This window comes from Homo sapiens, chromosome X (genome assembly GCF_000001405.40).
Source record: "Homo sapiens chromosome X, GRCh38.p14 Primary Assembly".
NCBI lineage: Eukaryota > Metazoa > Chordata > Mammalia > Primates > Hominidae > Homo > Homo sapiens.
In genome coordinates, this window is record NC_000023.11 from 39,742,004 (window position 1) to 39,759,259 (window position 17,256).

General features: G+C 48.8%; 2 annotated features.

Moving 5' to 3' along the window:
• Window positions 10,643-11,842: an enhancer, noted in NCBI's record as "BRD4-independent group 4 enhancer chrX:39611900-39613099 (GRCh37/hg19 assembly coordinates)". NCBI's record gives its function as "activates an origin of replication core promoter dependent on BRD2, P300/CBP, MED14 and CDK7 cofactors, and independent of BRD4, by STARR-seq in HCT116 cells {active_cell/tissue: HCT116}" and the evidence as "EXISTENCE:reporter gene assay evidence [ECO:0000049][PMID:35650434]".
• Window positions 12,688-13,637: an enhancer, noted in NCBI's record as "H3K27ac-H3K4me1 hESC enhancer chrX:39613945-39614894 (GRCh37/hg19 assembly coordinates)". NCBI's record gives its function as "activates a minimal SCP1, AML or CMV promoter by ChIP-STARR-seq in primed H9 embryonic stem cells {active_cell/tissue: H9 hESC(primed)}" and the evidence as "EXISTENCE:reporter gene assay evidence [ECO:0000049][PMID:30033119]".

Below are 17,256 nucleotides of genomic sequence, written 5' to 3' on the forward strand. Positions count from 1 at the left end.
ATGGAATCACTCGCACACCCTTTGCTATCTGACTGTATGTCTCCTAGCAGACAGGGTAGAAGCTATTTTCTTGTCCCACTGGCTTAGGGGTTGGCCTTATGACTGGCTTTGACCAGTGGAATGTGGACAGAGATAACTGTGTGCTGGCTCCAAACCTTGGCCTTAAGAGATTGTTTCCAATTGCCCTCTTGCGTTTACCTTAGCCAGGAGAAGAGCTCCCCGCAGGTAGCTGTTTCTCCTTCAGCCTGGGTCTCAGAATGACAGAAATGTGGTGCTATCCTTAGCCCATCCCAAAGTCAGGGGCCTAGCCTTGGTTTATAGAGCTATAGCTGAGCCCTGAACTACCGGCAATAGAAAGACCTATGAGGAAGAAATAAACGCTTGTTGCAAACAACTGAGGTTTGGGAGCTGTTTGTTAAGCAACATTATCCCAGCAGAAACCTGACTACTGCAGCCTCTAAGACCCTGGGTGATCTGGCCCTTGACGACAATTCCAGCCCCATCTCTCTTCACACTGCTGTTTTGTTCATCAAATTCTAGCCCCAGTGGCCAGTTTTAGTGTCTCAAAAGTTTATAGCTTTCCCACAAGGGATTCATTCTAAGTGGACTACTTTTTACCTTGATTTCGGCAAACTCCTACTCAAAATTCATCTCAGGAAAACTTCATCTGAACATTCACAACCTGTCATCTAGGTTAGTTTCCTCCTAGTTTGACTTTCTGATAATATCTTGTTCACCCTTCATACTGTTACTCTTCCTTAACGCAATAGATAATTTACATGTAATTTTTGGATTTCTGTCTCCTCCCTCCCTAAACTGTGACCTACATGAAGGCAGGGACCACCATGCTTATTTTGTTCATCAGTATGTTCTCGGCCAGGCGTGGTGGCTCACGCCTGTAATCCCAGCACTTTGGGAGGCCGGGGCAGATAGATCACCTGAGGTCAGGAGTTTGAGAACAGCCTGGCCAACGTGGTGAAACCCCGTCTCTACTAAAAATGCAAAACTGGCTGGGTGCGATGGCTCATGCCTGTAATCCCAGCACTTTGGGAGGCCAAGGTGGGCAGATCACCTGAGGTCGGGAGTTCGAGACCAGCCTGACCAACATGGAGAAACCCTGTCTCTACTAAAAATACAAAAAATTAGCCAGGTGTGGTGGCACATGCCTATAATCCCAGCTACTTGGGAGGCTGAGGCAGGAGAATCACTTGAACCCGGGAGGCAGAGGTTGCGGTGAGCAGAGATCATGCCACTGCACTCCAGCCTGGGCAACAAGAGCAAAACTCCGTCACAAAAAAAAAAAAAAAAAAAAAAAAAGCAAAACTTAGCTGGGCGTGGTGGCATGCTATTCGGAGGCTGAGGCAGGAGAATTGCTTGAACCCAGGAGACGGAGGTTGCAGTGAGCCAAGATGGTGCCACTGCACTCCAGCCTAAGCAACAGAGCGAGAGTCCGTCTCAAAAAAAAAAAAAAAAAAAAAAAAAAAAGGTCTCAGCAGTGGCAGTGCCTAGGACATAGTGATTTGCCGAATAAATGAAGATGGCTGAGTATTTCCTATCCTGCTACAGGACTCAGAGGATAGCTTCTTTCCCAGTAGGGGCAAGGCTGCAACAAAGGAAGTGGGATTTCATCTGAACCCTACGGTATGGGTAGAATCTAATACAACCAAAGCCATGGCCACAGGAAGCTCCATGACTCCAGGGAGTGGTTAGGGATGGAGCAGCTGGGCTAGACTAGAGGGTCAATACCAAGGTCAGGGATGTACAGGGGCCTTCCCTGGCCAGGTGTGGAGCTCCAACTCTCTCCAGCAGCCAGTGGACAGCCATGGATGGGTTTTCAGCGAAGACAGGAAGTGATAAAGGGTCAGAAGTCTCTTCTGGAAGACACTAGTGGCAAGGAGGCCAGTAGACTGGGTGTGAAGTCAGGGGACATAGGGGATAAGAGGAAAAAAAAATAAAAATAAAAATAAAAACACTAAGCAAAGACCAGTTATGGCTGAAGGGCAACACAGAGTTGCACTCCCACTAAAGGAGCTCTGTAAATATTTGCTGTGAATGACCCTGAATGACCTGGGGGGCAATGGTATGACTGCTAAGAGATGCGGGAAGACAGGAGAATGAGCTAGTTTGTTGGGGAAGAGAGTAAGTGTAATTTTATACATGTCAAGTTTGATGTGAACACAGGTTGTCCAGGAGGCAATTTGGAGATGGATATCGGAATTTGGGAGAACAGCTGGAGAAATTTAGGGAAACCCAAACTAGGGTTTCAGAAGCAGACTCTAAGACAAGGACTTGTGTGCTAGTGTTTTATGGGGAGGTGATCTCCTGAAACACTGATAGGAGAGTGAGGAGGTGAGACAGGGAAAAGAAGGAAGTCAATAAAGGGGGAGTCTGCAAGCAAATTAACACTAGGGGCAACTGGAGCTTAAGCCAGCTGGGGAGCTCTAGGAGACAGCACAGAACACACATGTCAGCATTAGCCCACCTGAGGGGCAGGGTGCTGGGATACTTACCAGCTCACTCCTATCAGTCCTTGCTTGGGGACTCTTCCTGGAAACCACTTATTCCTTGGCACTTGTAGGTTGCCATGCACACAAAAAGAAAGGGATCTGGTGGCCAAAGAAAGCCTTCAAGCAAGGAGAAGCAGGTTGCAGCAGCTTGAAATGGGTAGCTGTGCATGGAAATCAAATGGAAATGGTTATATTGCTATCCCAGTTATGTGTCAGGCACACCCCTAGATACTTACAAGTATTATCATGTTCCAGCAGGGCGTGATGGCACACACTTGTCATCCCAGCTACTAGGAAGGCCGAGGCAAGAGGATCACTTGAGCCCAGGGGTTTGAGGCCAACCTGGGCAACAGAGCAAGACCTCGTCTCAAAAAAAAAGAAAAGAAAAAAAAAAGTATTATCATGTTCCAACCTCAGAAGAGCCTTTTTATTTTATTTTATTTTATTTTTGAGACAGAGTTTTGCTCTTGTTGCCTAGGCTGGAGTGCAATGGCACAATCTCAGCTCACTGCAACCCCCGCCTCCCGGGTTCAAGCAGTTCTCCTGCTTCAGCCTCCTGAGTAGCTGGGATTACAGGCACGCGCCACCACGCCCGACTAATTTTGTATTTTTAGTAGAGAAAAGGTTTCTCCATATTGGTCAGGCTGGTCTCAAACTCCCGACCTCAAGTGATCTGCCAACCTCGGCCTACCAAAGTGCTGGGATTATAGACGTGAGCCACCACATCTGGTCAAAGAGCCATTTTAAAGATGAGGAAACAGCCTCAGTGCTAAAAGCGACAGGTCACTGAGACTCACTTTGCCAGAGGTACCAGCCAAGAAGAGATGGGATCATGGTGTCTGCAGGGCATTAGTAGCACTCAGAAACTTCCAGCCCCAAGAGCCCACTGTAGCAAAGGGAAATGAAGAGAGAGAGAATTCTTGGAAGAGCCATACTGATGATGACCACAGGAATAACTTGTCACAAAAGACGAAGTGAGAAAAAGACATGGAAAACCACATGATTGTAAGTCAGCAGGACTGAGTGATAGTAATTCTAAGATTCTGAGGGAAATAAAACATTTACATGGCACCGACGTGGACAGATGAGAAATCTACTCAGTAGTGTCTGATCGTGAGGATGAGAATATCCCCCCGAGGGAGTTCACTTTGGGGGTTCGCCTAGGGACTGCCCCACTGAATGCCAACCTGCACAGTTTATCTCACTCCTGGAAAGACCAGAGAAATACTGAAGGGCCAGGCATTGCAAATGGAACACCAGGCTTTCTCAGCCACATCAAAGCCAAAAAATAAAAGAAATTAATTTATTGATGCTGCGTGAAGGCAAAGAGTTGGTTTTGAAGAATTGTAACAAATGGCTGGGAAAATGTTAACCAAAAAAAAAAAAATGGAAAGCTCAGTTAATACTAAACAAATTATTAATCATTAGCAATAGTTGGGAAACAGGCCTGTGCAGGCAGATGAAATGAAATGGGGGCACAAAGGCTATAGAACAGGTAGATGATCAACTATCTTCAAGCATGTGGGAGGTTATTAGTTATTTTCTTGTAACTTGACGATTATTACCAAGACAGTGTGGGGAGAAGGAAGTGAAGAGGGAAGGGCAAGTATATCAGAATCACTTGGGAGCTTTCTCAAAAGGCAAGTGGCCCATGCTACCTTGAACTTTAGCAAATCTTTCAGAATGTCTACCTCATGCTCTCTCTGGTATCTGAAGTCTGTTGTCCCATAGTCTTGCCAAAGCTGCCATTTTCATGTCCTGAGAGTGGGCCTCACCACGTCTCCCCCTTCTGCTGGCTTCCCTACGAAGCAAAGAGCTCATGGAGGGTTCTTCCTCCCCCGTGGTACCTCTGACCATCACCCAGGCGAGACGGTTGAGCCCCTGAGAATGAGAACCTGGGCAGCCTCATCTGTCCTTGCCCCTCCTGCCCAGGCACAGTGCCCAGCACACAATCAGACTCCTGGCTGTAGAATGCATGATGCAGGCACAGCCCCACCTCCAAATGGAATAACCTTTCCCAGGCATTTCCTCAATACCAGGTAGGTTACTGAAGGGCCCATGGCCTCTCTGTAGGTGGAAATGGTGAAAGGAAAAATACCCACTCAGGGGCTTCAGGAGATTGGGCCAATGACCTCTTGAGAAAAATGTTAATCCTCTCAGCCACAAGAAGCAGCAGCAGTGAGCTAGAGTCAGTCTACACTGTCACAGGGCTGCCTGGGCTGCTGAGTGTCCCATGAGGATCATGGCTGTCATAGCTATATGGCTTTCGTGGCTATCGTGGCTGCTGTGGCAAGCCCAGGCTCCCCCAGGAAGAGCTGCCTAGGAAGATCCCAACCAGACAGCCCTTGTCCTGGACCCTGGGTGATTTATGGCCACGTCCATACACACACACTCGCTCATCCTGTCCACAGACTGAATCTAGGCTAAGGCCCATAAAATAGGCAACAGCTATTGGCAAATTCATTAATTAGGATTCTGTTTGTACTTTTATTGTGAAGGAAAATCATTTGTCAGCTTAAAGTCAGACCCAGTGCCTGATGAGAAGTGTTATTCTAAGAACGTATCGACTGATGGCTCTTCACGGCACTCCCTCTCTCCCATCTCTGCTGTCACACCCCACCCCCACCAGAGTCAGAGAAAGCCCCCTGTCCCTCCACTTTAATCAAGATCTGTGTGGTGGATTTTGTGAGTTGCCTTCCCAGTAAGCCTGCCTCCATCCCTTCTTCCCTGCCAACCTCATCCTGATTTTGTTCAGGGAAAGGGCAGTTGTATGCATCAAGGGCGACTGACCCCTCCAGCCCCAGAGAGTAGAGTTTGATGAGTCAAAGCCAATCCTGGCAACTCCATTTCCTTTCCCAATGACACAATTCTGCCCAAAGAGGTGTGAGAAGAAGTCGGCTAGAGCTCTTTGAAAAGAACTTGAGGAAGAAGTGTTCTTTCCTCAAGCCTTTGGACTTGTGCTGGAATGTGACACCTGGAGCCAATGAAGCCATCTTGTAAACAAGAGGCAAGGCAGAGGACCAAAGCTGACATGCTGAGGATGGTAAAGCAAAAAGTGGGACAAACCTGGGGCTCCAATGACATCAATGAGCACTGAATTCACCAACCGGGAATCATCCTGCCTCTGGGCTTCTTGATAGGAGAGGATAATAATCTCCCCATTGCCTGCATCATTTGGAGGAGTGGGCTTTTTATTATTAGAACTGAAGTCACTGACTACAGCTGCGAGCATCCTGCTATATTACAACCAACTAAAACTGCCTCCAGATGCCCATTCTGATGGGTGGCAATGCCCCTGCTCTAGATATTGCATGTGGTTGGCCAATTTCAGACCCCACCTCAGCTCCAGTTGCCCTGTCTTTACCGGGAAAGAATCAAAGGCCTTCACGTGAACTTCTTTCCATCAGCATCTTTTTTTTTTTTTTGAGACAGAGTTTCGCTCTTGTTGCCCAGGCTGGAGTGCAATGGCACGATCTCGGCTCACGGCAACCTCTGCCTCCCAGGTTCAAGCAATTCTCCTGCCTCACCTTCCTGAGTAGCTGGGATTACAGGCATGTGCCACCATGCCCGGCTAATTTTGTATTTTTAGTAGAGACAGGGTTTCTCCATGTTGGTCAGGCTGGTCTCAAACGCCCGACCTCAGGTGATCCGCCCACCTCGACCTCCCAAAGTGCTGGGATTACAGGCGTGAGACACCATGCCCGGCCTCCATCAGCATCTTGCTATCACTGGTGGAAACCACCTCCCCCCAGTCAGGAAGCTTCAGGCCACAGCATACAAAAGACAATACGCACACATACTCCAACACACATAACATCTCCCTCTATGTGGATGTCTCTAATATGGGTTGAATTGTGTTTCCCCCAAATTGTGTTTCCCCCAAACTGTTAAACTGCAGTATCTCATTATGTGACCTTATTTGGAAATAAGGTCATTGCAAATGTAATTAATTAAGATGAGGTCATTCTGTAGGGTGGGTCCCTAATCTGATATTATTGTTGTCCTTATTTTAAAAAAAAAGGGAAACTTGGACACAGACAGACACACACAGGGAGAATATCATGTGGACATTAGAGTCACATGGCCACAAGCCAAGGAACTACCAGAAGCTAAGAGAGAGTCCTGGAACAGATCCTTCCCTCGAATCTTCTGAGGGAGCGTGGCCCAGGTGACCCCTTGACGTTAGGCCTCCTTAGACTTTTGGCCTCCAGAAGTATAAGACGATACATTTCTGTTGTTCAAGCCACCCAGTCTGTGGTACTTTGGTACAGCACCCCTGGAAAACTAATCCAGTCTCTTGTATAAATATCCAGGTCATTATAGTATACGGAGGCACAATTCACCTATTAAGGACCATGGAGCCAAAGTCATACCGTTTAGGTAGAGATCAGGTCTTCTCTAAATTGTAAAGTCCCAGCCAGGCGTGGTGGCTCATGCCTTTAATCCCAGCACCTTGGAAGGCTGAGGTGGAAGGATCGTCTGGAGGCCAGGAGTTCAAGACCATCCTGGGCAACATAGCAAGATCCCCGTCTCTACAAAAAAAAAAAATTATTTAAAATTAGCCAAACATGGTGGTGCATGCCTGTGGTCTTAGCTACTGGGGAAGTGAGGCAAGAGGATCACTTGAGCCTAGGAACTTGAGGCTGCAGTGAGCCATGATCGTGCCACTGCACTCCAGCCGTGTGACAGAGTGAGACCCTGTCTCATATACACATATATAATAAAGTCCTATTGAGTGTCCTCAGACACAGAGCTAGCTGAGCAGGCCAGCTGGGTAGCTGCCCAAGGCACCAGCCTGTTAGAGGGTCCAAAATACCACTGGAATAAATAGAAATACCCATGCTGGTTGACGCAAGTTTCCACAAGCTCCTACCAAAGTAAACAGCAGCCTTATATGGAAATTTTAAAAACACCCGTGGCTGGCACTGACCCCTCTCTTTGGGTAGTTTTGTAATACACACGTATAGCTGCCATCAGCTAAAATTCTGAAATAAGTAAAGCATGGTGTAGCTTTCTTATTTACTACACACAAGGATTCATTATATTAAATAATTTGTAAACTCTTCAACATAACCCCGCCCAGTTGTCCTCCTTGAGAAATTGCCAAAGAAAACTGATGTGAGGGAAAGAACTACAAAAAGGGTAAGATGTTTTGCTGTTGTTTTAGACCATTAATTTTTCTCTAGCCAGGGTAGGTAAATTAGTAAGTAAATCTGTCCACACATAAAATTTTTTAATTAATAAGTTTGGCATAGTCTGCTTCTTGACCCACAGCATCTTTTCTCTCTTTTCTCCATGCTGAGAGAATGAGCAATTTTAGCGGGACACATGGCCATCCAGAATAAAGACTACGTTTCCCAGCCTCCCACTGCTAGGAGTGACCATATGGAGAAGTTCTGGCCAATGAAATACAATCAGAAGTATCACGTGATAGGCCTGGGAACTTTCCTTACAAAATAGCTGCGGGCACCCTCTGCTTCTACTTCTTGATCTTTTCCTCCTTTCTGCTGGCCACAGCATGGATATACTGACTGCAGCTACAGTAGTTGTCTTTGACCATAAGGTGACCTGGAGACGAGGCCATGCATGGCAGAGCAGCACAATAAAGGGAGCCTGGGTCCCCATGGACTTCATAAGCAGAATAGCCATGTCAGCCATGGACTGCCACCTCCAGACTGCTATGCAAGAGAGGAATACACTGCAGCCTTCTTTTAGATCTCTTTGTCACTTGCAGCCAAATGCTGTTCTGATAGGAAATCTGGTTTTGCCTGTATGAAGGGGCACCAAATCATTCCTCTGCCCAGAGGACTGCCTCTTCTTGGTCTGGCCTTGATCCAGGAAAGGATGGCTCTCTCTCCTGCTCTGGCTTCCATAAAGGCACCACTGGGTGGTAGGTGACACGACGGTGACCTTGTAAAGACGGAGACAGGGCTTTGGAAAGGGAAGAGTCCCAAGCCTCAAGTCTTGCATGAATGGGAAGGAAGCAGTGAGCCACTGCGGTAGATTTTGAAATGTGGCTGCAAATTCTTTGACATTTTTCTTTCCCATTAAGAGCTGGAGTCTAAATCCCTTCTCCTTGAACATAGGCCAGCCTTAGTGACTGGCTTCTAATGAATAAAATATGGTGGAAGTGATCCTGGGTGACTTCCAAGGCTAGGTCAGAAGAGATGCAGTGGCTTCCGCCTGGCTCTCTCTCGGGACACTTACTCTTGGAACCCATCTGCCATAGTGTGAGGAAGCCAAGCAACCACTTGGAGAGGCCACATATAGGTGTTCTGATCCACAAGTCCAGTTAACATACTAGCCGACAGCCAGCATCAACCACCGGACATGGTAGTGAGCACGCCTTCAGATAATCCAGGCCGCAGCTTCCAACCACCCCAGCTGCCACCAAGTAGAGCAGAGAAGACCCGTCCCTGCTAAGTCCTGCCCAAAGTGTACACTCGTGAGCAAAATTAATGTCACTATTTTAAGTCACTAAGTTTTGCAATGGTTTGTTATATAGCAAAAGATCATTGCAACAGCTGCCTGCTCTGCCCACATCCTTTATGCTAGCATATGTAGGTCCCCCAGCTACCACAAAGCCCTCTAGAAAGTTCCAACCTCATTTCTGTGGGTTCCTGAGAAAAAGGCAGGGATCTTGGGCCACACCTGGGCTGGGAGGGCTAAAGGGGGCACAGGTTGGCGGAATCAAGTGTCCAAAGTGGGATAGGTCACGGCAGAGGGAGCCAGCTGCCCATCCCTGCCTAGCAATTCTAACCAGAGAGCATGTGCATGTTGGTGTATACACACATGCACAAACACACACACGCACACATACACACACACACACACAAACACACACGAAGATGAACCTCAGAACAGAATCCCAGCACCCCAGGGTCCATGTGCAGCACTACTCACTCGCTATCTTGCCACCTAAAGATTCTCTCGGTAGGGCCCACCTGAGAGGAGCCAATTTCATTCCATGAAAGTGGACATTACATAGGTGGATCTTGACATGTCCAGGAGGATTTCTCTTTTTTTTTTTTCTTTTTTGGTTGAGACGAGGTCTCACTCTGTCGCCCAGGCTGGAGTGCAGTGGCGTGATCTTGGCTCACTGCAACCTCTGCCTCCCGGGTTCAAGTGATTCTCCCGCTTCAACTTCCTGAGTAGCTGGGAGTACAGGCGTGCACCCACCACACCCAGCTAATTTTTGTGTTTTTAATAGAGACAGGGTTTCACCATGTTGTCCAGGCTGGTCCCGAGCTCCTGGTCTCAAGTGATCCACCTGCCTCGGCATCCCAAAGTGCTGGGATTACAGGCATGAGCCACCATGCCCGGCCAGGAGGATTTCTCAAAATGAAGCCTAAGGTCCAGTAGCATTAAGAGAGGGAGAAGACACCTCCTGGGGGACCTAACTGCTAGGAGAATCTCTGTGGTTTTCTGCCAAGAATCAAAGCTCTCTCCCTGTTGTGAACTGAAGTGTGTCCCCCAAAAATGTATACGTTGAAGCCTGAACTCCCAGTGCATTTGGAGACAGGGCCTTTAAGGAGGTAATTGAGGTGAAATGAGGTCATGAGAGTAAGGCCCTAATCCAAAAGGACTGGTATCCTTATATGAAGAGGAAGAGACACTAGAGAACTTATCCTACCCTTTCTTTGTACTTGCACATAGGAAAGGCCATGTGAGGAAACAGAGAGAAGGTGGCCACCTGCAAGCCAAGGAACGAGGCCTCACCAGAAACCAACCCTGCTGGCACCTTCATCTTGGACTTCCAGCCTCCAGAACTGTGAGACAATAAATTACTGTTGTGCCAGGCACGGTGGCTCACGCCTGTAATCCCAGCACTTTGGGAGGCAGAGGCGGGCGGATCATGAGGTCAGGAGATTGAGACCATCCTTGCTAACACAGTGAAACCCCGCCTCTACTAAAAATACAAAAAATTAGCCGGGCGTGGTGGCAGGCACCTGTAGTCCCAGCTACTGGGGAGGCTGGGGCAGGAGAATGGCGTGAACCCAGGAGGCGGAGCTTGAAGTGAGCTGAGATTGCGCCACTGCACTCCAGCCTGGGTGACAGAGCAAGACTCAGTCTCAAAAAAAAAAAAAAAAAAATTACTGTTGTTTAAGCCACCCAGTCTGCCATTTTTTGTTATAGCAACCAGAGCTGACTAACACATTCCCTGAAAGAAACAAAGACAGAAGGACTGGGGGAGAAAGAAGACCCCAGGCCATCTTCACTTCATGGTCAGTGACACAGGGCAGAAGGATGGGAGATGAAAGGAGGGAGGGAGGAAGGAAGGGAAGAAAGAAAGGAGGAAGGAAGATATCGTGGGAAGGATCCGTACTTTAGGGCTCAAAGGCACCTTCACTTTCCTACCCCATCTCATCATTACTTCTTGTTTCCTCCATCTCCCCTTAATAGAGTCATGCAGGAAGCCCTTAGCTACTCTGCTGCCATCTGCCCTGTTTGAGTACAAGCCCAGCAGAGCTGCACTGCAGCCAACATAGACAATCTGGCAGGACTCCAAGACTTCCGGGTTAGGATCCCAGCTTGCAACGCGTTACTGAGCAATCCTTCATCTTGCATTCATTCAGCAAATTTTTGATCAATATTCATTCCGCAACTGTGGACCTAGTCGCAGCACTGAGCGAGGTACATGGGGTCCCTGCTTTCTTCTTCTGCGGGAGATGGACAAAGAACAAATAAATGTACAAATGTCAATTGGTAGAAAGTCCTATGCTAAGAACCAAACCAGGGTGCTGTGGTGGAGTGCCTGGGGAGCTCCCTCTGGTGAAATGTAAGCTGAGATTGGGAGGACACAAAGAAGCCAGCATGTGATTATTGGAGGAAGAGCATTCAAGGCCAAGAGAAGAGCTAGTACAAAGGCCCTGAGGCTGGAATGAGAGAGGTATGTTCTAGAAAGAGCAGGAAGGCCAATGTGCCTGGAGTTCCCCAACCGGGTGGGAGGAGGGGGAGTGAAGAATGTGATAGGAGATGACATCACAGAGCTCAGCAGGTGCCAGATCACATAGGGCTGGGCACACCAAGATAAGGAGTTAGGATTTCAGCTGGGGTTAGGAAAGGAGGTGACGTCATCAGATTGCCATTTAAAAAAAAAATTGCTCTAGCCATAAGATACTATTAGTTTTAAAGGGAAAAATAATAACATAGTGAAGAGAGCAGGCCAACACCACCTTAGCCAAGTGATCAATGTTAACATTACCGGTAATGGAACAAATGGGCATCACGTGCCTCCTGATACGATGCATGGAGGACACCCATCACTTGAGTGGCATTCCTGCGAAACATGCAGTATCTGAATCTGATCACGAGAGACATCAGACAAAGCCCAACTAAGGGTCAGTCTATGAAATCGCCAGCCCTTATTCTTCAGAAGTGTTCATGTCATGAAAGACAAGGATAGACTAAGGGACTATGCTGGATTATAGGACACACAACAACAGATTACACAACAGGCACACAACAACAGATTACAGTGTGCAATTCTGAATTGGATCCTGAACCAGAGAAATATTTCTTTTCTTTTGTTTTGAAGGACATTAGTGGAGCAACTGACAGGATTTGAATAAGATCTGGGGATCAGGTAACATCTGTGTAAATATCTGTGTATATTTCCCAATTTTGATAAACCGTACTGTGGTTATTTAAGAGAACATCCTTGTTGTTTTTGTTTTTAGGAAATGCACCCTGAAATATTTCAGGGTTCAAGGAGCATCATGTCTAAAATTTAATCTCAAAAGCTTCAGGGAAAACAGAAATGTGTGTGTGTGGAGAAAGCACACAAAAATTGGTAAAAATGTTAACATTGGGGGAATCTGAGGAAAGTAGATTCAGGAAGTCTTGGCACTCCTTTTGCAAGTTTTCAAGTCTGTAATTATTTCAAAATCAAAAGTTTACAAAATAAAAATTAAGGCTGGGCACAGTGGCTCATGCCTGTAATCCCAGCACTTTGGGAGGCCGAGGCAGGTGGATCACCTGAGGTTAGGAGTTCAAGACCAGCCTGGCCAACATGGTGAAACCCCATCTCTACTAAAAATATAAAAAATTAGCCAGGTGTGGTGGTGGGTGCCTGTAATCCCAGCTACTCAAAAGGCTGAGGCAGGAGAATCTCTTGAACCCAGAAGGCAGAGGTTACAGTGACCCAAGATCATGCCACTACACTCCAGCCTGCGCTACCGAGTGAGACACCATCTCAAAATAAATAAATAAATAAATAAAAATAAAGTCCACTCTGGCTGCCGGGTGGAGCATAAATATTGGGGGAGGGGCAGCATCAGGAGAGGTAGGACCAAGGATGGCCTAGGGTGCCGTGCTAGGAGGAGACAGGGCCAAGGCCTTAGAGTGTACAGAAATCAGGACCAACAGGCTTTCCATCTTAGGAAAGCCACTCTGTCCCCCACCATGCTGCTAACAACGGACCCAGCCAGTGCCCACCAAATGGCTCCTGCAGCCTTCCTTTGCAGCCACACTGAAAAGCGATCAAATGTGAAATCCCAGGGAGGCCAGAGCAATGCGGCCAGCACTCAGCTCCGGGAGGCTGGTCAGGGAAGGGAGAGATTGGCTGCAGCCCCTGCTGCCCTGTCACCTGTATCCACGAGTGTCCCCCACTGTCTGTTGCCCCCTTGGCCGGCCTCAGCCCCTCAGGAAATAAGACTCTCCAGGCCCCAGCAGGCCTTTTGACCCAAGCCGGGGCAGCCGGGGCTCAGTTCTGAAAGAATAAAGGAACAGGCTTTCTCAGGGGGCTGCCCCTCCTCGGCCTGGTGCAGGGGACACGTGGCACAGCCAGCAAGGCTGTCTAAACAAGCAGGGGTTGAGCTGCACACCAGGCGCCACGCTCATTAAACTGGGGGCCAGCCGCAGGGCTAATCAGCCAAGCGCCTCCAGACACCGTAGTCTTGCAGGTGGATGGTGCCCCTCTGGCCTGCACACGTCTCAGTGGAGGCCGGGTAGTCTCAGGATCCCGGACAAACGAGCCAGAAAAGCCTCCTTCTCCCACCCTACTCCATCATGCGCAGAAACCAACAGTACTGTGGGGGAAGGACAGAGGGAGGTTTACACTCCCCACACGATCGCCTTTGGGAAGGGAACTCTGATGGACTCCCTCCCCTGCTAGGCAGTTCACCATCAGACACCCACAGCCTGCTTTGCTGGATTAGAGGCAGCAAAAAAAGGAGGCCAAAATGTAGTCATGCTGATAGATTGCTATCAGCAGGCCCATAGGAGAGCCTGTTCCTTTATTCTTCTGAACTCTTTCATGGAGACGCCGCCGGCTCAGGCATGGTGACTCAGACGCTCCAGAATTCGGAGCAGCCAGGACCATGGGTCTGGGTGGGGACGTCAGCCTGTGTGTCAGGCCCAGCCCTGGCACCCAGCCAGCTGGGAGGCTGGGAGGCTGGAGGTTTGCAGGCTCATAAAAAGAAATCGCTTGTTCCTCTGCCAGACAAGAATGAGCCAGGTCCGGCGGAGAGAGAAGAAAAGCACTGCTGCTGTGGGATATTCATGCCCAAGATAGTGTCCTTCTGCAGCTCTGGAGGCTGACAAAGATCTGCTTCTTCGGAGCAGGCAGCAGCCACATCAGGGAAGAACTGCACCTCTGACCCACTTGCCGGTGACCCAGTTGCAGGAGAGGAAACTGGGGCGCCAGGAGATGGGATGACTTAGCCCCAGGTCCCCCACGAATGCCTGCCCCCCGACTTCCCTATGGCAGGGTGGACACTGGGAAATCTGAGGACACAAAGAAATGATAACCCATGCCTTCCAAGTTAGTCCGGCCCCTCAGGCGTGAGTGCTCATGCGTTTTGCCCAGACTGGGGCAAGCCTTAGATGTTTTCATATTTTTCAGAATCTCTCTTCTTGACTTGAAATGGCACGGCCAAAAGCATTGTTTCTCAAAGAAGCTACGGATGTAGGACCAGTCTTGTTTGTGTTTGTTTGTTAATTAATTCCAATCCGTTATGGACAGATACTTCTGTAAAGTACAATAAAAATGATTTGCTGGAAAAATGAAGCAGAAAAAAACACAACATAAAACACAAGCCCAAACCTCTACGGTTAGATTTAACAAACACACACATACTCTGTTGACTTGCTATAAAAGTTTCTAAACACTTGCTCCCAGTTTCTGTACTTAGCTCACTGAGGACAGGTGCCAGACAGCTGTGGACTGGCACTCACCCACCGAGCACACTTCAAGTAGCGGCGGCAAAAAGTCAAGGTCAAAGCAGATGGGTTCTGGCCGGGCACGGTGGCTCATGCCTGTAATCCCAGCACTCTGGGAGACCAAGGCGGGTGGATTACCTGAGGTCAGGAGTTCGAGACCAGCCTGATCAACATAGTGAAACCCTGTCTCTACTAAAAATACAAAAATTATCTGGGCATGGTGGCAGATGCCTGTAATCCCAGCTACTCAGGAGGCTGAGGCAGGAGAATCACTTGAACCTGGGAGGCAGAGATTACAGTGAGTCAAGGTCACGCCATTGCACTCCAGCCTGGGCAACAAGAGCAAAACTCTGTCTCAAAAAAAAAAAAAAAAGCATATGGGTTCTAATTCTAGCCACCTCTATCACTAACTGGCTGCATGCCTTTGCCCTCAGCCATACTCTCTTCTTTTGCACATAGCCAACTCACGAATCTACTCACACTACAGTCACATGTGCAAAAGAAGATCTCATTTCTTTACTTTGTCTATGGAGGATCCATTCTTGGTCGAGCATAGCAAGGCAGGGTGGGGTGATGACATTTTAGTTGTACAGAGTAGACTAAGTGCAGTACAATTGTTTAAATGGTCCTTTTAGGCAAATGCCCAGGCTCTCCCAGATTCCCACCCCACCACCCCTCTCTTCTACAAGATGGAGTTTAGGTGTATGGAGGAAGGGAATAGAACTTATGTCAGTGTTTCTCAAACTTTAATGTGCAAACAAGTCCCCTGGGGAGCTTGTGAAAAGTGCACATGCTGATTTAGCAGGTCTGGGGGCAGGCCTGAGATTGTGCACTCCTACCAAGCTCTTGGGTGATGCCAAGGCTGCTGGGCCTCAGAGCACACTTTGAACAGCAAAGGGGCATGAGACCTTACACAGGCAGAGAAATCAGGTCTCATTGCAGTGGAGTGGCTGGTCTAGGCTGCCCCTGAATGGTAACTGCTGAGGTGCAGATGGCTCTCCCTGACTAAAGTCTGAGGCTGGACAACTCCTGGCCCAACTCTGGGTGCATGCACTGTCATCCCCATCACCCAGACAGGCCAGCTGTGCTTCCCCTTGAAGACTGTGATGTCCGCCATCTGGACGGTGACCCAGGCCCACGGGGCCTCGACACACCTACTTTCCACCATCCCCACACAGGGGCACCATCGCCAAACCCAAGGAACTAAGGTCAGCTCTGCTTACCACACCATGCCACTCATTGAGTTTTTCTTAAGCAGAGTCCACTGGATGAATGCGGGGTGCCGCCTTCATACTGTGTCCTCTCCCAACCCTCCCTACAACCGGGAGCAAACATACCACTGCCTGAGGCATGCCCCCTCCCCTCTCCAACATACTTCCCTCCCTCGGGGCAGATCCCAGAGTAGATCACATTGCTTCCCCCAGCTCCAGCTCCATCTTTCCACAGTCCTCCCAGACCGGAGGAACAGCCTCTCCTGATGCCTCTTCCCATCCCTCTTGATACACTGAGTAGGAATTAAAGGAATGTAGGAAACCCTTTTCTCTCCACACAATGCCTGGCTTGCAACCCTATTTCCTCTTTGTGGATTCAAACACAATCTAATTTGACCAAAGCTGAGCAATGTCTTCATTCGTGAGCACTGGCTGCCGTTTATCGAAGCTCTGACATCCATGGGAAATACTGAAGTCCAATAAAAATACTGCCAAGAGCCAGGCGTAGTGGCTCACGCTTATAATCCCAGGATTTGGGGAGGCTGAGGCTGGAGGATCACTTGAGGCCAGGAGTCTAAGACCAGCCTGGGCAACGTAGCGTCTCTATTAATTTTTTAAAAAATACTGCCAAAAATGACTCCTGCTCCCTGTGAAATTCTCTCTCTAGCCCTGAGAATCTATGAAAGGGCCATCCTCTTGCCAACTTAGAAGCAGAGCACATTTCCTAAGGAGGCTTGGAGCTGAGGGCTTGGATGACCCTATCCTCCCACAGACAATCCGTAAGCACCTAGTGGGTGTCAGGCACCAGTGGGGGACCAGGGAGACAGGTGAGCCACACAGTCAAAGTCCTGCTTCCAAAGTGCTCACAAGCTTAGAGTAATGACATCACCACCATTACCTATGGTGACACTGTGATCTGCCACCCGGCCTCTCAGCTCTCAACCACATCAGGGTCTGTCTCAGCTGCTGAGAGCCGCCTGGCTGAAGCAATGGCCTCCAGGGTCAGCCCAGGCCCAAGGACTGATGACTGCAAGGGGATCACCTGGGGACAACTCAGCATCCCTGGCTGGGTATGCTCAGGTTCAGGGCAGGTCATCCCTGGCTAGGCTCCTGCTCATCACGTGGCCGGGTGCTGGAAGAGCTGCACCCAGATGGAAGACGCGTGCCAGTTGCAGAGCTGCGAGCTGTTGGCTGGGGCCTTGGCGCCCTGGCTGATAATCCCACGCTGTGTAACCCTGGGCTGAGTGTGCTACACCAAGAAGGGGAGAAGACAGAATATTCTAACAGGCTGTGGGCCCCCGCCGCCATCTGGATCTCGGTTTCCTCACCTCTGAGGGGTCTTTTCCAGTTCCAATATGCAAATGGTTCATCACTCG